Below are 25,776 nucleotides of genomic sequence, written 5' to 3'. Positions count from 1 at the left end.
GGACCAAGTGGACCTAATAGACATCTACAGAACTCTCCACTCCAAATAAACAAAATATACATTCTTCTTGGCACCACATAAAATCAACCACATAATTGGAAGTAAAACATTCTTCAGCCAATGAGAAAGAATAGAAATCATAATAAACAGTCTCTCAAACCACAGTGCAATCAAATTAGAACTCAGGATTAAGAAACTCACTCAAAACCATACAACTACATGGAAACTAAACAACCTGCTCCTGAATGACTACTGGGTCAATTACAAAATTAAGACGGAAATAAATAAGTTCTTTGAAACCAATGAGAAGCAAGACACAATGTGCCAGAATCTCTGGGACAAAGCTAAAGCAGTGTTTAGCGGGGAATTAATAGCACTAAATGCCCACAGAAGAAAGCGGGAAAGAGCTAAAATCAACACCCAATCACAATTAGAAATAGGGAAGCAAGAACAAACACATTCAAAAGCTAGCAGAAGACAAGAAATAACTAAGATTAGAGCAGAACTGAAGGAGACAGAGACACGAAAAATCCTTCAAAAAAAAATCAATGAATCCAGGAGCTGGTTTTTTGAAACGATTAACAAAATAGTTAGACCACTAGCCAGACTAATAAAGAAGAAAAGAGAGAAGAATCAAATAGATACAATAAAAAGTGATAAAGGGGAGATCACCTCTGATCCCACAGAAATACAAACTACCATCAGAAAATACTATAAACACCTCTATGCAAATAAACTAGAAATTCTAGAAGCAATGGATAAATTCCTCAACCCATAAACCCTCCCAAGACTAAACCAGGAAGAAATCAAATCCCTGAACAGACCAATAACAAGTTCTGAAATTGACACAGTAATTAATATTTTACCAACCAAAAAAAGCCTAGGACCAGATGGATTCACAGCCGAATTCTACCAGAAGTACAAAGAGGAGCTGGTACCATTCCGTCTGAAACTATTACAAACAATCCAAAATGAGGGACTCCTCCCTAACTCATTTTATGAGGCCAGCATCATCCTAATACCAAAACCTGGCAGAGACACAACAAAACAAGAAAATTTCAGGCTGATATCCCTGATGAACGTCGATGCGAAAATCCTCAATAAAATACTGGCATACCAAATCCAGCAGCACATTAAAAAGCTTATTCACCACAATCAAGTTGGCTTCATTCCTGGGATGCAAGGCTGGTTCAACATACGCAAATCAATAAATGTAATCCATCACATAAACAGAACCAATGACAAAAACCACATGATTATCTCAATAGATGCAGAAAAAACCTCCAATAAAATTCAATACCCCTTCATGCTAAAAACACTCAATAAACTAGGTATCGATGGAACGTATCTCAAAACAATAAGAGCTATTTATGACAAACCCACAGCCGATATCATACTGAATGGGCAAAATCTGGAAGCATTCCCTTTGAAAACTGGCAAAAAACAAGGATGCCCTCTCTCACCACTCCTATTCAACACAGAATTGGAAGTTCTGGCCAGGGCAATCAGGCAAGAGAAAGAAATAAAGGTATTCAAATAGGGAGAGAAGAAGTCAAATTGTCTTTGTTTGCAGATGTCATGATTGTATATTTAGAAAACCCCATTGTCTCAGCCCAAAAACTCCTTAAGCTAATAAGCAAATTCAGCAAAGTCTCAGGATACAAAATCAATGTACAAAAATCACAAGGATTCCTATACACCAATAATAGGAAAACAGAGAGCCAAATCATGAGCAAACTCCCATTCACAATTGCTACAAAGAGAATAAAACACCCAGGAATACAACTTACAAGGGATGTGAAGGACCTCTTCAAGAACTACAAACCACTGCTCAAGGAAATAAGAGAGGACACAAACAAATGGAAAAACATTACATGCTCTTGGATAGGAATAATCAGTATCATGAAAATGACCATACTGCCCAAAGTAATTAATAGATTCAATGCTATTCCCATCAAGTTACCATTGGCTTTCTTCACTGAATTAGATAAAACTACTTTAAATTTCATATGGAACCAAAAAAGAGCCCATATGGCCAAGACATTCCTAAGCAAAAAGAACAAAGCTGGAGGCATCATGCTACTTGACTTCAAACTATACTACAAGGCTACCATAACCAAAACAGCATGGTACTAGTACCAAAACAGACATATAGGCCAATGGAACAGAACAGAGGCCTCAGAAATAATACCACACATCTTCAACCATCCGACCTTTGACAAACCTGACAAAAACAAGCAATGGGGAAAGGATTCCCTATTTAATAAATGGTGTTGGGAAAACTGGCTAGCCACATCCAGAAAACTGAAACTGGACACCTTCCTTCTAGCTTACACGAAAATTAACTCAAGATGGATTAAAGACTTAAACATAAGACCTAAAACCATAAAAAACCCTAGAAGAAAACCTAGCCAATACCATTCAGGACGTAGGCATGGGCAAAGACTTCATGACTAAAACACCAAAAGCAATTGCAACAAAATTCAAAAAGGACAAATGAATCTAATTAAACTAAAGAGCTTCTGCACAGTGAAAGAAATTGTCATCAGAGTGAACAGCCAACCTACAGAATGGGAGAACATTTTTGCAATCCATCCATCTGACAAAAGGCTAATATCCAGAATCTACAAGGAACTTAAACAAATTTACAAGAAAAAAGCAAACAACCTCATCAAAAAGTGGGTGAGGGATATAAACAGACACTTTTCAAAAGAAGACATTTATGCAGCCAACAAACATATGAAAAAAAGCTCATCATCGTTGGTCATTAGACAAATGCAAATCAAAACCACAATGAGATACCATCTCACACCAGTTAGAATGGTGATCATTAAAAAGTCAAGAAAAAACAGATGCTGGAAAGGATGTGGAGAAATAGGAATGCTTTTTCACTGTTGGTGAAAATATAAATTAGTTCAACCATTGTGGAAGACAGTGTAGTGATTTCTCAAGGATCTAGAACTGTAAATACTGTTTGACCCAGCAATCCCATTACTGGGTATATACCCAAAGGATTATAAATCATTCTACTATAAAGACACATGCACACGTATGTTTACTGCAGCACTATTCACAATAGCAAAGACTTGGAACCATCTCAAATGCCCAACAATGTTAGACTGGATAAAGAAAATGTGGTACATATACACCATGGAATACTATGCAGCCATAAAAAAGAATGAGTTCATGTCCTTTGCAGGGACATGGATGAAGCTGGAAACCATCATTCTCAGCAAACTAACACAAGAACAGAAAACCAAACACCACATGTTCTCACTCCTAAGTGGGAGTTGACCAATGAGAACATATGGGCACAGCGAGGGGAACATCTCACACCGGGGCCTGTCAGGGGATGGGGGGCGAGGGGAGGGACAGCATTAGGAGAAATACCTAATGCAGATGACAGGTTGATGGGTGCAGCAATCTACCATGGCAGATGTATACCTATGTAACAAACCTGAATGTTCTGCACGTGTACCCCAGAACTTAAAGTATAATACAAATAAAATAAAAACAGTTTTACTTCTTTCTTTCAAAAAAAAAACAATAGAAATTTAAAAAAATTATAAAGTAAAACATTACAATAAGCTAAGATTAATTTATTATTGAAGAAAAGTTTTTCTATAAATTAGTGTAGCCTAAGTGCACAATGTTTATAAAGTCTACAGTAGTGCACAGTAATGTCCTAGCCCTTCATCACTCACTCATTGACTCACCCAGGCAACTTCCATCCTGCAGGCTCCATTCATGGTAATTGCTCTATATAGCTTTATCATTTTTTAATCTTTTATACCACATTTTTACTGTATCTTTTCTATATTTAGATACTCAAATATGTGTTGAAATTGCCTACAGTATTCGATATGGTTTGGCTGTGTCCCCACCCAATTCTCATCTTGAATTCCCACATGCTGTGGGAGGGACGGGGTGGGAGTTAATTCAATCATGGGGGCAGGTCTTTCCCGTGCTGTTCTCATGGTAGTGAATAAGTCTTATGAGATCTGATGGTTTTATAAGGGAGAGTTCCTCTACACAAACTCTCTCTTTGCCTTCCACCATCCATGAAAGACATTACTTTGCTCCTCCTTGCCTCCTGCCATGATTGTGAGGCCTCCCCAGCCACGTGGAATTGTGAGTCAATTAAACCTGTTTCCTTTCTAAATTACCCAGTCTCAGGCATGTCTTTATCAGCAGCATGAAAATGGACTAATGTAGTATTCAATACAGTAACAGGCTATATGGATCTCTAGCCTAGAAATAGTAGGCTATACCATATATCCCAAGTGTGTGGTAGGCTACACCATCTAGGTTTGGAATACAATCTATGATCATACAACAGTAAAATTGCCAAAGAATGCATTTCTCAGAAGCAAAGCATTGCTGAAGTCATAGGAGGGAAATCTGCCTCTAGGCAGTATTAGTGAGTGAGGGAGAGTCAGGGCAGGGTTCTACATGACAGGCAAAACCGAGGAAAAACTGAATGAACTTTAAGTAGGATACATCTAAAGAGATTTATATCTAGGCAACCAACCCACAGTCAAACTGTCCAAAGACAAAGAGAATGAAAGAAGCAAGAGAAAAGCATCTCATCAGGGACAAGGGATCCCTAATGAGATTCACAGCTGAGTCCTGAGTCCTGAGCAAACTTTTGTATACAATTGAAATTAAGTATTAATTCAAACTAATTGTCTTAAGTTAAAATGTTAATGGTAGGCCTCAGGACAACCAGTAAGAAAGTAAATTTAAAATATAGAGCAAAAGAAATAAGATAATAGGGTATATCAGAAAATATCTATTTAACACAAAAGAAGGCAGTAATGAAAGAATAGATGAACAAAAAAGACATAAAAGACATAGAAAACAAATTTTAAATAGTAGATGTAAAACCTATCTTATCAATAATTGTATCAAATATAATTCATTTAAATTTTCATTAAATGCCTGTGAAGATATATAAGTTAAGTTTGAGTAGTTAATTCTTTTGGGAAGCATTCTCATCAGTCTAATGCAGCCTATTAAATTTGCCTGAGAAACAATCAGTGGCCAAAACATACTTCTCTTGAGGCAGAACAATCTCTTCAGAAAGAGTTTCCAGCCTTTCCATGAGGTCCCCTCCCAAGTACGGACACCTAGTGTTTTTTCAAAACAGGGCTTTGACTGCCATTTCCTTTTCAACAGAGAGTGCTCTTTGAAGCCACCAGAGTTTCTTCATCAATATCTTTTATGCTGTCTCCATATGAAGGTTGCAGCTTTGAGTAAAAAGTATAGCAGGAAGCAAAGGAGAGTTGGCACATTGGCATGTGGCCTCTTCAGAGGTGTGGCCCTAACATGTGGAGGACAGCAGTTGGAGCTGGAGATGGGGTCAATGTAGAAAATGCATCGTGGGACTGCAACATGGTAGACAATCATTGTTTTTGACAACTGTGAGCCTGTTTCCTTTTGGAAAATCACCTTCCCCTAACATGTGGAGTCTGGGACAGTTAATCAAAGAATCCTGCCCTCTCCTTAGCCAAGGATGCCAATCACTCTCATTCTCAAAGCTGATTCATCCCATGGGCAGCATGTATAAGTACAGTTGTCACTGAGAGCTGCTACTGACATCTCCACATCTGCTGGCTCCTGGCTTTTCTGAGCCCAGTTCTCCTAGCTAAACTTACCCATATTTAAATTTTTGGTATTTGCTTCATCATGGATTTTTTTCACATTCATTTAAAACACAAACTATTGCATTAAAACATTATTTATCTTGATTAGTGAGCTTTTTGACATCCCTTAAATTTGGCATCTGAGGAAACTGCTTCACTTGACTCATCATGGTCCTGGCCTATCTCTAGTCTTTGATGCTGTAAATGAACTCTGTTTTGCTTTAAATAATCATAATTGTAAACTAAAGAACCTGGCTTATTCAAGGAAAGGAAGAATGAAAATCTAATATAATACATCACAAGAAAAATGCTGCTGCCCGCTTGGAAATCTCAAGAAGAAAACTAGAAAAACTACTAAGGCCTCTTAGTAAGGTGGCTGGTCCCAAAATATACAAATATTGATGGCTTTAATGTAAGAAATACTAAATATCCCAATTAAATATAATGAAAAAGTATTCCATTTACTTTAGACATACATATATGTAACCTAGAAATTAAATTAACCAAAAAACGCAGGCCCTCTATGAGAAAAATTGTAATACTTTATTGAGGTACATAGCACAGGCCTAAAGAGATGGTGAGATTCAATCCAGGAACCCATATTCCTGGGTTGGAGCATTCAATATTATAAAAATGTCTGTTTTTCCACAAATTTAATGTTTGATTTTTATGCAGTTCTAATCAAAACCTCTTAGAATATTTTAATTGGCCAACTTATCCTAAAGTTAATCTAGAAAAATAAACTTGTTAGAGCCAAGAAGTTTTTAAAGGATTTGCCCTGTCAGATTATAAAGTAAATTATAAAACTATAAGATTTAAGAGTATTTAATATGTAACTTTCATCCTAGAATAGATCAATGAAACAGATCAAATAGTCTTTTTGAAATAAACTAATGTAGAGATATAAGAAATTAACATAAATTAAATTAGGAATTTGAATTCAGTTGCAAATGATGGATTAATCAATGTATGCCATTGTCACAGTTAGGTAGCCATTTAGAAGAAAATTAAAATTTCTAGGTTACTCATGCACCAAAATAAATCTCAGAAGAATTAAAGTGTTAAAAGTGAATGCTCATACACACATGCATTGTTGACTACTTAAGCAAGGGTTGCGCTTTCAAAATAAGATAATAAAGTCAGAAAATTATGGAAAACATTGGCCTATTTGACTATAAGAAAATAGAAAATATCAATTATCTAATTAACTAAAATGAGGTGAAAACACTAAATAATCCATTAAACAGAGAGGGGAAATAATGAAAAAATTTGACAAAGTTCTCTCCTTGAAAAGGATATCAGCCTAAGCAGTTTTAGGATTTTGTTCTACCAAACTTTAAATAACTGATAATAAATGGACAATAATTTACCTTTAAGTAGATGCCTGGATAGAAAAATAGCTTGAATTTTAAAAAGAAAGAAAAGAAATAAAAGAATGAATGTCAAATATGACATGTCTTTGAAAGAATGATATATAAAAGTCATCTTCTAATAGTATTTTATCCCAAACTAAATGTTTTAATTATGATTTCTCCACCTATAAGTCAATATTGACAGATTTTGAGAGGGAAAATTATGATAATCTTAGTAAATACTAAAAAATGTATTTGATAAATTTCCAGTAAAAGCTCTCACTGTCTGAGGAATAGAAGAAAGATTCCCTAAAATGAATAAATATAATGTGATAACAATTGTTAATTTCCCCAGTGTCTATTCTCCCTCCCTTCCATGGTGGGAAGATTTTTAGCCAAACATAAGACTAAAAATCACATTTGTTGCTCAACAGAAAATCACATTTCCTAGCCTCCCTTGCACAGAAGTGTTCCCATGAAATTAGGTTCTGTTCAATAGGATGTGAGTAAAAGTGATGAGTGCAAATTCTGGGCTGTGCCCTTAAAAAGAAGGACTGTACCCTCCTTTTGTATTTCTTTCTTCCTGATGTCTGAAACACAGAAATGATGGTGGTAGCTGGAATGGCCCTATGAGGTCATGAAATAGAAGCTCTGTATTTTCTAGAACACAGCAGCAAGATAGAAAGATACTGAGACCCTGATAATGGCATAGGTAAGCTACTAGACCACCCAGCACTGCTTACTCCCAGGCTGTTAATGTGAAACACTATTATTTGGGATTTTTCTATTATAGCAATTACATCTATATCCTAATACATATAATTACCAGAAATCTAAAGCAAGCATTATCATCGTATTTGTTTATAATCTTCCTTGAAGTATCAATAAAAGCAAAGTTGCCTGCTATTACTATTATAAATTGACATTATGCTAGCAAACTAGCAAATGCAATAAGAAAATAAAAAGAATGAGAAAGCAATTAAAGGAACTAATTTAACGTTACATTCAAGTGTATGATGATCTATCAAAATTTTGAAAGAATCAACTGAAAAATTATTAGATGTCTCTCTCCAAATCCAATGCAAGGTCCATGTCACAGTGTCAATGCACAAACAATATGCAATTTTTAAAAGACATGAAAAAACAAGATGTAATTCATTATCACTATAGAACTTTAACATACCTAGAAATAAATCTAATGAGAAGTATGCAAGACCTGTATGAAGAGAAATATAAAACTTTATTGTGGGAACTTGAAGATGACCTGACTAGTGAAAAGACACACTATGTGCCTTGATGGAAAGACAATATTATAAAGAGGTCAATTTCCCCAAAAATAACATAAAATACGGAACACCCCAATCCAAATCTCAAAAGAAATATTTTTAAAGGAGCTCTATGAGCCAATTATACTGTTCATTTGAAAGAGAAAAAACAAAAGATTGGCTGTGAAATTTTTGAAAAATAATAGTTAAAATAGATTTTCCCTACCAGTTATCAGAGCATTATATAAACAGTAATAAATACAATGTTACATTAGATCTTGGACAAAATAAAGTTTAAGAATATGTATATATGTGCACACATACACACACACACACACACACACACACAGTTCTAGGATATGGCCATGAAGACATTTCTAGACAGTAATAGACAATTCATTTATTAGAACTGGGACAACAGGATACTCTATAGAAAAAAAAAAAACTTAAGATGTTTCCCTCCACCATACAGAAAAGTTAAATTCTACATAGATTAAAAGTTTAAACGTTGTTAATCTATATTGTTACAGAATAGAAAATTAGAGGAAAATCAGAAGATAAAAATGAAAACTATGATAGTACCACATAAAAGTGAATAACCTCTTAACAAGGCAAGATGGTAAAACAATGTTAAAAGAGAAGGAAGAGCTTGAGAGAAAACATTTGCACAGCATATAGCAGACAAAGGCTTAATATATACAATATATAAAGATATAAAGTAAAGTAGGCTCAACTTAAAATTAAGAAATGAGTACGAAGAGGCAATTCAAAGAAGAAATACACATGGTCACAAACATTGGAAAATATGTTCCACTTCACTGTAATTAGGGAAATACAAATTAAAACAGCATTGAAATTGTACTTTTCACCAGACTGGCAAATATTTTAAATTTTCATAGCATCCAGTGTGAGAAAACAGAAATTTATCATTCACTGTTAATAGAAGTGTAAACTGGTGCAGTCTTACTTAAGGACAACTTGGCAGGAACTATCAAAATTGAAATTATGGATACCCTTTCATCCACATTCCATGAGCTTATCTTGGAGAAATACTTGCAAATAAGTGTAAAGGTATCTTCACAAATTTTTGGTACCATTTTTTATCATAGTAAAAATTTTAAATTGACCTAAATGTCTGCCAGAGGAGAATTTACTGGCATAAATAGTGTTTTTCTTTCTTAAGCCATTTTTTAAAAATGAGAATAAAGTCACGTATCTATGCACTTAAAAACAATAAGCAAGACAAGGTGATAATGTTAATAGAAAAAAAATGAATCTGTGATGTGACAGTCTGTGTGTTTTTTAGTGGTGAAATTAACTGGTTAACGTTAAGTTCCTAAGTTGAATGAAATTTCTAAGTTAAAATGTTATAAGGAATTCTAGAAACTTAATTCTAAAGTTCACTTTGAATGTAAGTAGCAACAATGGTTAAATGTTACAGTACTTCTACTAAGTACAATATGCTGATATATCAGTAATTGTTATTACTGATAACAATTTTGTACTAAAATGAATGCCTGCACAAGATATTAAATGAAAAAATAGAGAAAGGCCCTTCTCTATATGATATAGTCTCAACTATGTTGAGTTAAAATACATACAATGACTCTAAACAAATAGACCAAAATCATTAAGTGATTTTATATGAATGACTTTTGGGTGGTTTACCCTTTTCTCAAATGTTTTCCTCCATTTTCCAAACTTTTTAAAAGAAATGTTTGTGAAAACAAAACTTTATTTTATAAAGCTGTTTGGAAAAGCTTGATGGCACATTCTGCAACATAAGCTGCCCAGGCACAGGGCTCTGGGGATGCTAATTAGAAAATGATGAGTTAATTAAAGTTGTGTGCTTAGTCTCTATGGCAAGGATTTCCTTTAATCCAACAGTGGTTTTCTCTCCATTTGCAGAATGTGGTTTCTGGATGAAAAACTGAGAACAGACTGACCCTCTGGCCACAGCTACTCGCGTCAGGGACGCATAGTTGCAGGTGCATGCTGTCTGGTTTGGTTTGCCAAGTCAAAATAGTTGTGTTTCCCGCTGTGGTGAGAGTTTCCAACTTCAGACGGGGCAAGAGAAATTCTAAACAGTTTGCCCTTTGCAGATGTATTGAAATAGTACTGAAATTTACTGATTTTCCCTCATGTTTTTTTTCCGTGCTTTTATCACTACCCTGAAAATAAACAAGGAGAAAAGGCAAGCATACCAAATGTGTTCTCAGTTGCTGAGCAAAAGAAGGATTTCCTGAGTAGTATGGCTGCTCCAGTGCTCCTGGCTTGACATGAGAGCAAACAGAGAGAAATATAAAAGCCATGCTTTTCCCCTCCAGAACACAACTTTATTACAGGGACTTGAATAAGACAGTAGGACTTGTACCAAAGCCACCATGCAGGAATTAGGGACACTGTCTCACAGGGAGCAGCAGGAAGCCAGAAACCTTGGGACATAATCCCCTCCCTACTCCCTTAGGGGCTTTAGACAACCACTTTGTTCTCTAGTTCAGTTTCCTCTCTCCCAATCCCCACCAAGGTGTTTGAGCATTAATTAGCTACTGCTAATTAAGGCCACAAAGCTGAAAAGCACCATTGTATGTGGCAGTAGAGAGATGAATCCCTTCATTGTCTCTTACTGAGGCTTCCATTCAGGATCACAGGACACACCCTGAGACTATCCCCTCATTGGCATAGCATTCTCAAATCAGTGCCCTCCACAATCATGCACATCTCAGCCACACACCCTGCACTGTGGCTTTTGTCCTATAGTCAGAAGAGTCTAGGACACAGAGGGAAGCAAGAGAATCTCCAAATCAGCCCAGAATAATTTGGGGGAAAGAATTCTAAACAAGTGCACCTTGCAATGTTGGGCTTTAGCTCTCAATAAAACTTTCTCAACAGCCTCCTGCTCTTGGAGTGGGCCCATGTAGGGCCATTTTTGGAGTAGAAAGGGAATCCATTTTGGGAATAGAAAGTAGGGCCAGCCGGTGCGGTGGCTCATGGCCATAGTCCCAACATTTTGGGAGGCCTAGGCGGGCAGATCACCTGAGGTCAGGAGTTCAAGACCAGCCTGACCAACATGGTGAAACCCTGTCTCTACTAAAAATACAAAACATTAGCTGGGCGTGCTGGCAGGCGCCTGTAATCCCAGCTACTCTGGAGGCTGAGGCAGGGGAATCACTTGAACCTGGGAGGCAGAGGTTGCAGTGAGCTGAGATAGCTCCAGCCTGGGTGACAAGAGCGAGACTCCGTCTCAAAGAAAAAAAGAAAAAGAAAAAGGAGGGCCATTTTTGAAAATAAAGTTTGGAAGACTCCAAATTCTTTGGAAGACTCCACTAACAATCAGCCTTATGGTCTTCCCAAGGTGCTGGAGAGCTGTCACTAGATTCCTGGTCATGTTATTTTTCCAAGCGCCCAAACCTGATTTATTACAACAAACAGGAAACAGTAGCTGAAATGACTTCAACAGTAGTAATAATAAAATAACACGGTAAGGAAGAAAACAGAGATTCCCTCTCTTGGAATGCAATCTAAACCCCTGGGTTTGTTGTTTAGGAAACAATCACCATTCCAGACCCTCGGGTTTTAAAGCCTATGTTGGCCAAGAGAGGGAAGTAGAGGCAGCCGTCTTGCAGGTTAACCGCTGCAGATCAGCCAGTTAGGGAATGCCCTGAGTGCAGACATGTGTGTTTCTTGTTCTTGCATCAGAGCTGCTCATATAAAGATTTTTGCCTTAATAGAGTGGTTGTGATTTTCCATGTCACATTGCTGTTTCCAATCCTGGAATTTGGTGACAATGAAGGACTCTCAGCACCAAAATAATAACTAATTTAGCCAGCTTCATAAATCACAGTCCCTAGGCACCACCAGCAAATAGTTCTTTGGACCCAGAACAATATACAAACTCCAGCTTTAGCACCGTGTGGTCGGAACTTAAAGTGTACTCGCTAGCCATGGTTCTTAGAGCAGTACAAATTCCTGTAACCTGCTGCACAGTCAGCTTGGCAGTCTTTTGGTGGTCAGTGGTGGAAGTACACATCATACCATAATAGTAGTCTTGGGACCAACTAACCACTAACCCAGACCCTGGGGAAAAGTGAGCTGGTGCATCTGAGGAGCTGAGTATGGGGCCACTGCAGGGCCGAATGCTGGGGAATGGAGAACAAGTGGAAAGAATGGATGTGGGCTCCTGCTTTCAAATAACTTACAACCATGCTAGAGAGATGTGGTTCATACATAAAATTAAATATAAATCATAAAGTGATATGTGACTAAACATAAATGCTAATTGTATAATTTAGGTTGGATGCAATATAGAAAATAGGTCACCACATTGTTTACACTGTGCTGCTCAAGATGATAATGATATGATGATGATGACGATGATAGAAAAAAACTGCACTATTCCACTATTCACATATTAGCTCACTTAATCATCAAACGCACCTCTATGATGCAGCTATTAGAATCTCCATTTTGCAGATAAGGAAGCAGACCTCCAGGGAAGTTAAATAACTTGCTCACACAGCTAGCAGGTGTAAGTTCAGAGTTTGAACCCGGGCAGCCTGGCTTCAGGGATTATATTCTTAACCTCAACATCTCAATGCTATGCTGCCTCATTGAATGACGAGGGTCGATTATACAAGATATTTGGTCATGGGCTACACTTCTCTGCGGTTCATAAATTGTAAGGTACATGGAAATTTCTATAATATTTTATTTAACATTTTATTATTAAATACATTTTATTATATTACTATTATTCTAGAATATTTTTTCTTTCCCCTCCCCTTCACTTAAAAAAATTAAGATATTACTCACATACCATAAAATTTACCCTTTTACAGTGTACAGTTCAGGCCAGGTGTGTTGGCTCATGCCTGTAAACTCAGCACTTTGGGAGGCTGAGGCAGGAAGATCACTTAAGGTCAGGAGTTCAAGATCAGCCTGGGTAACATGGCGAAACCTCAGCTCTACTAAAAATACAAAAACTAGCCAGATGTAGTGGCACACGCCTGTAGTCCCAGCTACTCGGGAGGCTGAGGCATGAGAATTATTTGAACCCAGGAGGCAGAGGTTGCAGTGAGCCAAGATTGCACCACTGCACCCCAGCCTGAGTGACAGAATGAGACTCAGTCTCAAAAAAATAAAAAAAATTTTAATGAAGCATACAGTTCAGCAGTTTTTAATATACTCACAAGGTTGTGCAACTATTATCACTACCAAATGCCAGGATATTTGTATTACCCTAAAAAGAAGTCCTGTACCTATTAGCAGTCACTCCCCATAGCCCCATCCCATCCAGCCCTAGGCAACCAGTAATCTACTTTTTATCTCTATAGATTTATCTATTCCAGATATTTCATTTAAATGGAATCATACAAAATATCACCTTTTGTGTCTCACTTCTTTTACTTGGCATAATGTTTTCGACGTTCATCCATGTTGTAGCTTGAATCAGTGCTTCGTTTTTTAAATTACAGAATAATAGTCCATTGCCTGGTTATATCACAATTTGTTTATCCATTCACCCATTGTTGGACATTTGGTTTGCTTCTACTTTGTGGCTATTATGAATAATGCTGTGAGTATTTGTATACAAGTTGTTATGTGAACATATGTTTTCAATTCTCTCCGATATGTACCTACAAGTAGAATTCTGGGTCATATGATAACTCAGTTTAATTTTATGAGGGAGAGCAATTTTTTAAAAGGTAACTTTTGAAATGTTAAAATTCACTTTTTGCGAGTAAATGATACACAAACTTTGATATTTCCGAATTATTTTTAAATGACTTGTTAAACACTATGCAAGTGCTTGCAGCTCACTGGTTCAAAGAAGAAAAGGCCCACAGAAGAGAGAAGAGGCAAGGAGAAGTGTTCCTATGAACGCTGTTCATTTCTCAGCAGAAGCGTTGGCATGCAGATCCCACAGAATTGAGCAAAAACAGCTGCTTGTGCTCTTTCTTTGGTGAGGAATACCAAAAAGGCTGGAATATCTGAACTGACTTGTTGTTAGACAGCTTTGTTAAAAGCCTCTGTGGATTTCATACCACCCTAAGGAGTTGTGCTTTCCATCTTTTTATCTTGATTTAAATTGAACAAAACAGAGAGGCAAAAGGAATGTAGAGGCCTGGAGTTTTCTATTGTCAGGAATAGTTTTGCCCATTGTTTGTGTTCAAAGATGAATTCTTTTCCATAGGCTAGCTTGAATATTTTCTTGTTGGAAGTTTTATAATAAAAATGTAACAGTGATCCCTCTATCCTTATATAATTGGCATGAATGATCATCTGCCTTTGTAAAACAATCTGAAATCATTTCATCAATTGAACAAGCTGAGCATGGTGGGAGGGAAGTGGCATCCCATGAACTCACAGTTGCTGAGGATGACAATCACTCTCTCCTTGCTGCCTTCCTCAATTCTTTCTTTAAATACAGTGCATCCTCAAAGGGATAAATTTGGGGATCCCTTGGCATATTTATTCCACTGGGATGAAAGGGGCAGAATTTACCTATTGTCAGATTATTATTTGTTTTCAGCAAACTCTGCTGCTACCAGAAATCTGCATCACATGAGCTGAGAGAAGAGAAGATTCTTTCTGCAATATGTTTTCCTTATTAGCTGTCTGCCAGGGCTATTACAGAGAGAGAAAACGGAAAACTTCAATCTGCGACCATATGTCCAATGTGTGTCCTTCTCTTTGACTCCCAGGAAAGTTCCTCTTTTTAATTTCCAAACTGGATGACTTTGATTAATCTTATTCTCTTGACCATCAGTACTATAGCTTATTAATCCACAAAGTATTATAAAGTACCTGCTTTGGAAATAAGAGGCTAAATGGTAATAATGGGGGAGAGTTTAGTTCTGAAGTCATGGAAAACTAGATTTGGAACCTGACTAACTCAATAGCTATGCTCATGCAAACACACACACACACACATAAATGTGCACATACACATATATATGCGTGCGTGTGTGTGTGTGTACACACATCTTTGGGAAAGTCACTTAACCTCTCTGAATTTGGATTAAATGAAATGATGTATGTTAAACTCCTTTAACAGTGCTTGGCATATAGTAAAAGCTCAATAAATGAGAAATCTTCCTTACCGTCTTACAACTGTGTGGTAAGTGCTGTAACAATGATATGGACAAGTTGCTGAGGCGACACAGAGGAGGGGTCAATCAACCAGCTTCTTTCATTTTCTCACGGCCTTTTTGCCTTCCTTTCATTCCTTCTCCTGAGATAGGGCTTTTGTGCCTGTGCCACTGCAGATACTGGTCTGAAGTATCATCTTACTCCTCTCCTTTAACAAATCTGGTCTGATTTTAACAGCTCTCCAGCTTCACAATTAGCACCCCCAACTCGCCCAGCGGTGATGAGAATGAAACCACAGCTGTCGAAGGCTGTATTCACTCTGGGGCTATTCACAGTGTTAAAGAAGAGGCCCCTTTGTCTCTCCCTCCTGGCGTTAGGCATTAGCTATGTCGGCTCACCCTCTCCCACTGCCGGCTCCAGTGCCCGCGGCACTGGCTCACTGGGTACAGCCTGCATTAGCTCATGGTCTGTGGCAGAGCCACAGTTGCAGCTCATCTGATCGATTTGCTTCTGAGCACTAGAAAGCTCAACTAGCTCAGCAGCTCTTTATGACCTCTGGCACAGACAGCAAATTCCTTCCAGCTCAGCTCGTGGAGCTGGGCTCTGTACTGCCTTAAAACCAGCCCCGGCTCCTCAATTACCTTCTGCCCTTATTCATGCCCTGCCAATTCCTTTTTGCTGGAATCTGAATGAAGCCACTGCATATGCCAAGGCTGAGAATCGCTTGAGAGGACTTATGGGCCTTTTCCTTGAAGGAAAAGATGGCACTTGGAACTTGGCCGGTGGAAGCATCATTCAGATATGATTCATTACAGGTAAGAGAAAGAAGACAGGAATCTGCAGAAGAAATCTTCCCATAAGTCTGATATTTCTGGAAAAGGGGACAGAGTTGTCTGCTCTTTGTGACTTAGACTGGGCCAGTGCCGAAATCACAAGTCCACAGAGTATGCCTGAAGGAAGATGGTTCTCAATGCACCCACTGGGAAAATGCACTCATCCTCAAATGACTGAGGCCGTTGTTTCCTTGCCTTTTAAGATCTCATCCCAGGAGGGATTCTTCTCACTTTCTTTCAGTCCTGAACTCAGAGGATTGTGCTGCTTAGGGAAGCCACCTCATTAGGACAACTCATTTTCCCTTCTCTCTAGTAGAGGTTACTGCCACAAGCTGAACACAGTGAAAAATAAACTGTGAACTTGAAGAGGGAGGAGGGAAGGTGGAGGTGTTTATCTCAAGCTTAAGAGAAGTTCTGCAAAAGGCGTTTTTTAGTTTGCCCAGTTTCATTTCTTTAATCCCTGGTTTCTCTGTGGTTTTGCTGTATGCTTGCCCAGACACGTCACATGCACCAGCCTTATAACTAGAAAAGTCTCTGGCCTCACAAGAAGAGGGAGATCTCCCTGAAAATAATCTCCGAAGGGTTGGTCTGGAGCAGGAAATGAGAGTGAAAGGCACATCTGTAGGAGGGGTTCCGCTTGCTCACACTCGGAATGTGCTCGCCCTCTCCTCCTCTCTTTGATGACAGGAAGTGCACATACTCCAAGCTCCATTTCCTCAATGTCCCAGGTGAAATTATCCCCGGAGAGAGGGATAACCCTAACTATTAAAAAGATGTATGCTTGATTCAATGTTCCAAATAATATTCAGCACAAACGAATCTCTGGACACCTAAGCTGTAATAGACCATGAGATTTGGAAGAGGATGAGGAAGAGTACTATCCAAGGAACCGGCTATCATCACAAATTCTGCAGACTCAGACACCTCTCGACAGCATGTCTCCAACAACCCCGCCCCCCATTCAGAGCCACTCTTCCGGAAATCAACTCACAGTTCACCTCCTGTCTAAATTCTGGTGTAGAAATGGAAACCTCTTGTAAGATGTCATAGATATTTTGGCTGAATCATCAGCAGAAGTTCTTGTCCATCCCTTAGACTTAGGATGGCCTGGTTAGTATGGTTTGATGGGACAAAGCTTGAATACCATGACCAGAAGCATTTCTGTGTTCTCCTGTCTAAGGTGAGTAGGATCCCTAGTATGTTACCCCCTCAGTTTTACTCAAGTGATTTGAAATCCAAGTGGATGATGTGGGTGGCTTTATGGATGTAAAGCAGCTACAATTGAGAGACTCTCGAGAAAGGTGGGTGGTAGTTGTGGAAATTCAGTCCAACAGGTGATCTAGGGATAAGGGACTCAAAACTATGATATTGTCCCTGTCCTTGAGATATTAACTATTCAGTAGGTGGGGCAGACAAATAAACAAACAATTACAGTAGAGTGTGACGCACACATTGGTCCGAGCAAAGTAGATAAGCACTAAAATGAAGAGGAGGTTAATTCTTTCCTGAGATGACAGGGTCAGGGAAGACAGACCAGAGGAGGTGACTCTATGAAGCAGGAATAATTGTTACTCTCATTTGAAAGAGGTAAGTGCCAGAGCGGGTGGCTCACACCTGTAATCCCAGAACTTTGGGAGGCTGAGGCAGGAAGATCACTTGAGGCCAGGATTTCCAGACCAAACTGGGTAATATAGTGAGACCATATCACTACAAAAAATTTTATAAGTTTATCCAGGCATGGAAGCATGCACCTGTAGTCTTAGCTACTCAGGAGCTGAGGCAAGAGGATCTCTTGAGTCTGGGAAATCGAGTCTGCAGTGAGCTATAATCATGCAATTGCATTCCAGCCTGGGTGACAGAATGAGACCCTATCTCAAAAAAACAAAACAAACAACAACAGAAAAAAAACTGAGACAGAAACTGTGGCTCAGCAAGATTGAATAATTTCCCTAAGTAATGCAACTATTAATTGCATTGTGGCTTCCCCAGGTGTGGGACTGAGTGGTGGTAGGAGAGAAAATTAAGTCAGGTTTCTGAGGGGTGCAGGCTGGGGCTAGTCAAAAAAGGATCAAGTCAGCCTTTACATCCCGATGACAGCAGGAAGAAGCTTAAAATCCCAAAAAGGGCAGCTTGCATGCAAGCAGTGGGGATTGTTGCCTTTATGGCATGAATACATACAACAAATTTTGTTTAAAATTTCTTTACCAAGGTCTATAGGGGCTTTATTCTACTGTCAGTGGTAAATTTTTTAATATGATACAGTCAACATCCTGGAAATGTTAACTCGCATCATCATTATCATGATTGTAAGGGTATTGGATTATGTTCTAAGAAAGAAAACACTGATCATGCGAAGGGTCAGAGAGTAAAGGAAGGTACATACTACACTATGGACTCATGAGGAGAAAGCCATAAGTGGGAAAAGGTCCCAGTACCAGCTTAAACATTTTGCCTCTTTTAAGAGGTACAAATGGTCTAGAAGGGTAAGGAGTATCTTCCCAAAGTTCTTACTCCCATCTTAATGTCCACAAATGAGATATTTATCAAGCACCCAGGGCAGCCCTCAAGCAGCATGAACAAGAAAGTGACCTCTGGAGTCAGATGTCTCAGTTCAAATCCTGGCTCTGTCACTTAGCAACTGTGTAACTTGGGGAAACTTCCTAAGCAATCTGCACCTTCATTTTACAAAATGAAAATAAAAATAACAGTAGCTTACCTGATAAGGTAAGTATGAGTTAAAATGAATAACTTAATATGTTAAATTAAATATATGAGGCAACTATGCAGCCATTATTTTCATGGCTGAGTGAAAAAGCATGCAAGTGCTAAGAAATCATTATAATTAGGGTTATTCATATGTGTTAGACAACAAAACAAAACATAATCCCTACTCATAATCTAATAGGAGCAAAAGGCAGTTATGGAGATAAGTGCAATGGAGGCATAGATGAAGGTGAGATGGGAAATGCATTTGGGAAGAACTAATAGTCAAAGAGTTTTTAAGAAACTAGAAAAAATAGTACAGGAGGGGGGCATCCTAGTAAAAGCAAACTGCTCAAAAGCAAGGAGGCATGATACCACCTGGTGCATTTGGTGGCTGCTAGTAATTAAAGATGGCAGGGGAACAGAATGGGAGGGAGGTGAACTGGAAGCATAGATGGGAGCTACATCACATGGTGCCTTAAATGCCAAGTCAGAGTCCAGATCACATGCCGAACACACGAAGGACTCAAAACTGGACTTTGAGAAGGAAGTGACACGATAAGACCTATATTCTTACAAGATCACTGAAAGAATTGTGGAATATGAGTTGGAAGGGGCTGAGATTATCAAGCAGCGAGACCTGTTTAGGAGCCTGTATTAGGAATTCAGAGACGAAAGAATGAATGAATAAGATGAGGTGTTGAGGATGTAGCAAAATATGTATATATATATATATATATATATATGAGAAATGAAATAGAAGGATGGGGATTGGTAAGTGATTAGATGGGAAGTATAAAGGGAAAGGAGTAGATAGGAAAGATGCTCAAGTTTCAGGTTTGGGCACATGAATGTGTAGTGGTGCATTCCCAGACACGAAATAAGAGGATCTGGAATGGGGGCAGGGAGAGAAAGTGTTCAAAACTGAAGTTCTGTTTTCAGCTCAATTTGCTTTAGGATAAGTGAATATGTGGGTTGATTGTATATAATGTATGTAATGATTATGCAAATCTTTGCAAATAGCTCAGATCATCCATTCATAACATAAGGCACATCAAAACCAATTCTACTCCCTACTACTCCCCAATGGTAGTAAGAGCATTGCACTGGCAACGTGACCTAGTGAAGTTTGGAAAGTCTAAAACAGTGGACTGATCCATTGTATTTCTGGAATATAAAGGAAAGCAGCTGGAACTCTGGATGAAAGCTGTAATTGGATTCACAGGCCTTCACAGCAGAAAGCGCATCTCAACACCAAGCGCAGTGGTCTGGGAAATATGAGGCAGGGAGTAACTTGACTCAAAGGGGCAAGAAAGAAGTGGACATCCCAGGAGAATTGCCCTACTTGGAGTACCAAGCCTGCCTACCTGTAAAAATGGGAAAAGTGGCAAATTATCTCAGCCTAGACTAGCAATGCCAGGCCCACTCAGGAGAAGCAGGACTGGAGAACCACTCTATGTGGCAGCAAGGCAAGCCAATCATAATCCTGAAAGACAAAATTCCAAATGCCATAATCACGAATGCTGAAACCCTAAAAGAAAATCTTGAAAATATATAATTCTGGAAAAAATCATTAAAAATTATTTAAAATGGCCAGGCACGCTGGCTCATGCCTGTAATCCCGGCACTTTGGGAAGCCGAAGCAGGCAGATCGCCCGAAGTCAGGAGTTCAAGACCAGACTGCTCAACATGGCAAAACCCCATCTCTACTAAAAATACAAAAATTAGCCAGGCATGGTGGTGGGCACCTGTAATCCCAGCTATTCGGGAGGTTGAGGTATGAGAATCACTTGAACTGGGAGGCAGAGGTTGCAGTGAACCTAGACCATGCCACTGCACTCCAGCCTGGGGGATAGAGCAAGATTCTGTCTCAAAAAAAAAAGTTTCTTTAAAACGTATTTATTTACATTTTAAAGGAGGACTTATCTGAGAAACATATAAAAACAGGACAGAACATTCATAGGCCACTTTACAGAATAAAAGAGGCAATGGCAACATACATATTTTGCAAGCAGGAGCAGTCAGGTGCACTAACGACAATGGCATGGGTATAACAGTTGTGGGCAGATGAACAGATGAACCGTATTCATAAAGACATTGGTCAAAAAGGGAAATGTGTTATCACCTATCACTATGGTTGGTAATTGTGTGCACCCAACTTAATACTGCCATCATCTGCAATATGGTGACAAACCACTTAAGTCTTTTAATGAAATTGATCAGAAACTGGATGGGTCACCACTACATATGCAGTCACCCAAAGAGTCCAGATCACGAGCCTTTCACAAATGCAGATGTACAAAAAGGACATCTCTTCATTTATTAAGGAAGTCTCAGCATTTTTATATACATGCACAATACTTGAACACAAAGTCAACATTATCATAATGCACTTTGGTGGAGCCAAATTTGTTAAAAATTCATAAAATGAATCTGAGCTCTCTAAAATTCTTTACACAATTTATACCTCCAGTATTGTAAGTAATATGAAGATGAAATACAAAGCATAGAAAAATGTAGAAAAATAATGCTGACAATTTAAAGTAGTAAAAAAAAAAATCCTAAAAAGAAAAAAACTGTAAAGAAAATTCAACATATGAAGCAGTGGATTACAAGGTTAGATTATGGACAATGGCATGGAGATGGCCCATGAGAGTTGGTCTAACAAGATGTAACTATTTTACGATTGTGATTTTCCAGATTTTCAAAGTGAGTGATATTACAGTTTATGGATTTTGATCTTTGGAGATTTCAAATTCAGGATTATGGTGTTTGGGATTGTGTTTTTCAGGATTACGATCCAAATCTAGCAGCAAGAAGGATGGCATCCACTGCCTGGAACCAGGGATCTTTCCTGTTCAAAAGTGGAAGGCCAGTGGGCTTCACTGGGTACCATTTAAGACCCCTGTGTTCTTGGCTGGCACATAATCCTGTCCATCTGGACCATGCAGCCTCAAGCCAGGTTAAGTGGATTTGTGGAAAGATAGGAAGTATGAAATATTGTAACCTGAGTGTTGCAGAGAAGTTCATACCTGTTAGCATGATCACACAAGATCATTTTCTCTTCAACGCAGGGTGTCCCCAAAGGCCAGGAGTCACTATATCCTGGCATGATCGTGTCACATCCCATCCTACCTCTTTATTATTCTTTGCGGTTGAAACATGTGGATTGTAATATTTATCTTTTACTCAAAATGATATAGGTATCCTTTAAGTAGTCATTAAAGTATTTAATGTATTTATAAGTATTTAATTATCCATTAAAATAAGTAGTAAAGACTATAAAATAACAAAAAATATTTTATCCATTTATTTCTTTAAATTTTTTCCTAGAAGAATAGTAGCATTTTTAGATCTGTCACATTTATTTATCATGTTGGACAATATTTATTTAATAGCTACCTCCAGTTATTAACATCTTAAATTCTATTCTTTATAGAACAGATGCAGTTGTAATACAAAACATTAGAAATGTTCTGTTTGGAAAATTCCTTGAATTATGATTCAAGATAATCTCAAAAATATAGTTACTACCAAACAAAAGAAATCTAATCTATATTCCTATACAATTACTGCTCAGCTAGAGATGAGAACTACCAGCTCCTTCTCTTTTTAATGTGAACCTACAAACAGATATGGAAATTAGAGCTATTAGAAATAAAAAAAAATGTTTGAAGGCTGGACAGTGGTTATGGTATCAAGAATATTTTGATAAAATGGGATTTTAGGCCAGGCACGGTGGCTCATGCCTATAATCCCAGCACTTTGGGAGGCCAAGGCCGGCGGATCACAAGGCCATGAGATCGAGACCATACTAGCTAACACAGTGAAACCCCGTCTCTACTAATAATACAAAAAATTAGCCGGGTTTGGTGGCACGTGCCTGTAGTCCTGGCTACTTGGGAGGCTGAGGCAGTAGAATCACTTGAATGTGGGAGGCAGAGATTAAAGTGAGCCAAAATCGTGCCACTGCACTCCAGCCTGGGCGACAAAGTGAGACTCCATCTCAAAAAACAAAAAAAAAGGGATTTTATTTCAAATTTTTGTGTACCTCTGATATAATTATTCAAATTTTTGCAAATGGCTCTGGTCATCCATTCGTAACATAAAGAAGCACAACAGGCTGGGCACGGTGGCTCAGGCCTGTAATTCCAGGACTTTGGGAGGCTGAAATGGGTGGATCGCTTGAGGCTAGGAGTTTAAGACCAGCCTGGCCAACATGGCAAAAACCCGTCTCTACTAAAAATATAAAAATTAGCTGGGCATGGTGGTGCACACCTGTAGTCCCAGCTACTTGGGAGGCTGAGGCACGAGAATCTTTTGAACCCAGGAGGCAGAGGTTGCTGTAAGCTGATACTGCACCACTGCACACTCCATACTGGGTAACAGAGCAAGACACTGTCTCAAAAAAAAAAAAAAAAAAAAAAAAAAGAAGCAGCAGCAGCAGCACATCAAAAACAACTCTATTCCCTAGTAGTAGTAAAAAGCATTGTGTCTTTAAACCTAACAGTTGGAATACAACTTTGTTATTGAACACAGAAATGCAGAAGAAATAATGAAAGATAACATTTTAAATTTAACCAACTTAACTTAGCAAATCTTAAATATACATATCCCATCAGTTTATATATGTTTATGTATATATGTGGATGTTTATATATATATATGTGTGTGTGTGTGTGTGTGTGTGTGTGTGTATTGCTATGAAACATACATCAACACATTGCTGATAGGAGAATTGCTGCCACCCTTTGGGAACTAATTGCACAATATGATTAATAATTTTGGAAGTTTTCATTACACATAATAGAAAGTCCAATTCAATTCACTTACACAACAACAACAACAAAAACCCTGTAATTTCACATGATAAGGATTCCAGAAGGAGAGAAATGTAAGGGCGTTAATTTAGTGGTTCAACAGGTTACAAGGACTGAGTTTCTTTCTGTCTTTCTTCTGTGTCATGTGCTTGTGAGCTAGTTCTCTTCAACATCACACGGTGACTGCTATAGTTCTAGGCATCACATCCTTATCCACCAATAACAGAAATTTTAAAAAGGGTGGTCTTATCCTTAAATCTGTTTTTAACATCTAAGAAACCATCCCCTGAAATCACCCCGGCAAATTTTCATTCACCAATTATTAAATAAAATTAAGTCATATTCTCTTTTCTAAGCCAATCACTGATAGTGGGAATGGAATTACCATGGTGGGCTTTTTCTAACCATTGTGCTTGAAGATGAGTCCACGTTTCCTTGAAGTATGTGGCTGAATAGAAAATGATAGACACCTGGGATAGAAAAAGGGTACTCCTAGTAAGAAGACAAAAATTGATGTTGGCTATCTATCACCAAAATTTTTCGCCATGTGTGTCAAGAGTTATATCCATGCCTTTTGACCCAACAACTCTACTTGTGGGAATTTCTTGTTAAAAAATAATCTAAAGGTATTTATTTAAAATATTCATTAGTGCACTGTTTATTTTAAAACTATAAAATAATGTCTAGTAATATAAAAATTATTCACTTAGATGATTTCTATTAGATGAAATATTATAGAATTATTGGAATGATAATTATAAAACATTATGGCATTAAGGAAATGTTTATTACATAATGCTAAGTGAAAAAAGACACAATTACAATTACAGTATGATGGCAACTATATAAAATATGGTTTTATTTTTTAAAGGATATAAAAAAGATTGTGTGATTTTTTTCTTTGCATTTTTAAACATTTTGCTAGCTTATTTTTAAACTAACAAAGAATATAATGTATTATCTACAGATAACGCATTATCTGTAGAATTGAAAGGATCATTATATAACAGTGTAACTGTAGGCTGCTGGTTAAGATATAATCAGATATCTCAAAATTGGGAATTTTTATGAGGCTGTTACATAAAATTATGTAAAAGTTCCAAAATTATTTAAATGGAAGTAACTAAAAAACTGAGTTGAACTCAAGGCATTTAAAAATATATATTTCAAATTTATGATATACAGTATCAAAAAAGCTATACAATTTTCCATATTAGTTGGGTTAAAAAGTGCCCTTATACTAGTGATTCTTGTTTAGGTTGGTTTTCTACATGACCCTATCAGAGAAAGTTTGTCTTTTTTTCTGCTTCTAGTAAGCCTTGTAGATGTCATTGGCACATTTATTTTTCCTTGATTTCTTTGGGAAAAGGAGGCAACTGGTCCAGCTTTTTATGCCTGAGGTCCAGAAAACATACACCTGGGAAAGGCTACTGAACTTTAATTAGTCTTTCCTGTTTCTGAGTCTGCTTGCACAACAGTCTTCCTCCTGCACATGACCCTGTCGTCAACTGTCTTCCTGAAATGTTTATAAATAAAACATGGAAAAAAGTATGAGATCACAGCCCAGGATTAGCCTTAAGCCATGTCTTTAGGGTTGTTGCCATAGCAGAAGTGTATCCAGGATCAAAAAAACACTCTTGGATCACAGGACTCTTTCACTTTTTATACGCTGTGTAGCACCTGGTCTATGGACTGCATACATTTCAGCACAGGGTGGTTGTGCTCTGTCACAAGCCCCTTAAAAAAGGAGAAGTTATCTTATGAGTGATGGCCCTATATACTATGTCACTCACCTTGTCCTTGTGGAAGAAACAGGACCAGAGAGGGCAAATAGATTTGGTAAACAGCGAATGAGACAGCAGAAACATATAGATGTATTGCTAATAATATTCATTTTTTGAAAGTAAGAAGTTAATGCATCCGTGTAGGACAGAATGGGGTTGATGATATTTTTGTTCTTTTTATCCTCGCTCCCCAAGCACTTATCTAAGGATATCTAGAAGAGCAGGACTGGATTGAGTGGGGGTGGGGGTGCTGTCCCAGGGAATGGGGGAATAGCTCTTGGG

General features: G+C 38.0%; 2 long non-coding RNA genes across 3 annotated transcripts in view; one reads left to right on the top strand and one right to left on the bottom strand.

Annotated features, from left to right (window-relative positions):
- LINC03069 (long intergenic non-protein coding RNA 3069) overlaps positions 1-10,462 on the top strand; it is a 187,650-nt gene extending 177,188 nt beyond the window's left edge. The window contains exon 9 of the long non-coding RNA NR_148972.1: positions 10,171-10,462. This is a non-coding gene — a long non-coding RNA (long intergenic non-protein coding RNA 3069). The remainder of the gene's footprint in view (positions 1-10,170) is intronic.
- Positions 1-17,864, bottom strand: part of LINC03092 (long intergenic non-protein coding RNA 3092) — a 29,891-nt gene extending 12,027 nt beyond the window's left edge. Inside the window, exon 1 of one of the 2 annotated variants that reach the window (XR_001753454.2) lies at positions 15,366-17,864. This is a non-coding gene — a long non-coding RNA (long intergenic non-protein coding RNA 3092). The remainder of the gene's footprint in view (positions 1-15,365) is intronic. The other variant, XR_001753453.3, reaches the window with a different exon arrangement.
- Positions 17,865-25,776: the final 7,912 nt, after the last annotated feature.

This window comes from Homo sapiens, chromosome 18, assembly GCF_000001405.40.
Source record: "Homo sapiens chromosome 18, GRCh38.p14 Primary Assembly".
Classification (NCBI taxonomy): Eukaryota; Metazoa; Chordata; class Mammalia; order Primates; family Hominidae; genus Homo; species Homo sapiens.
This window is presented reverse-complemented; position numbering and strand designations above follow the sequence as displayed.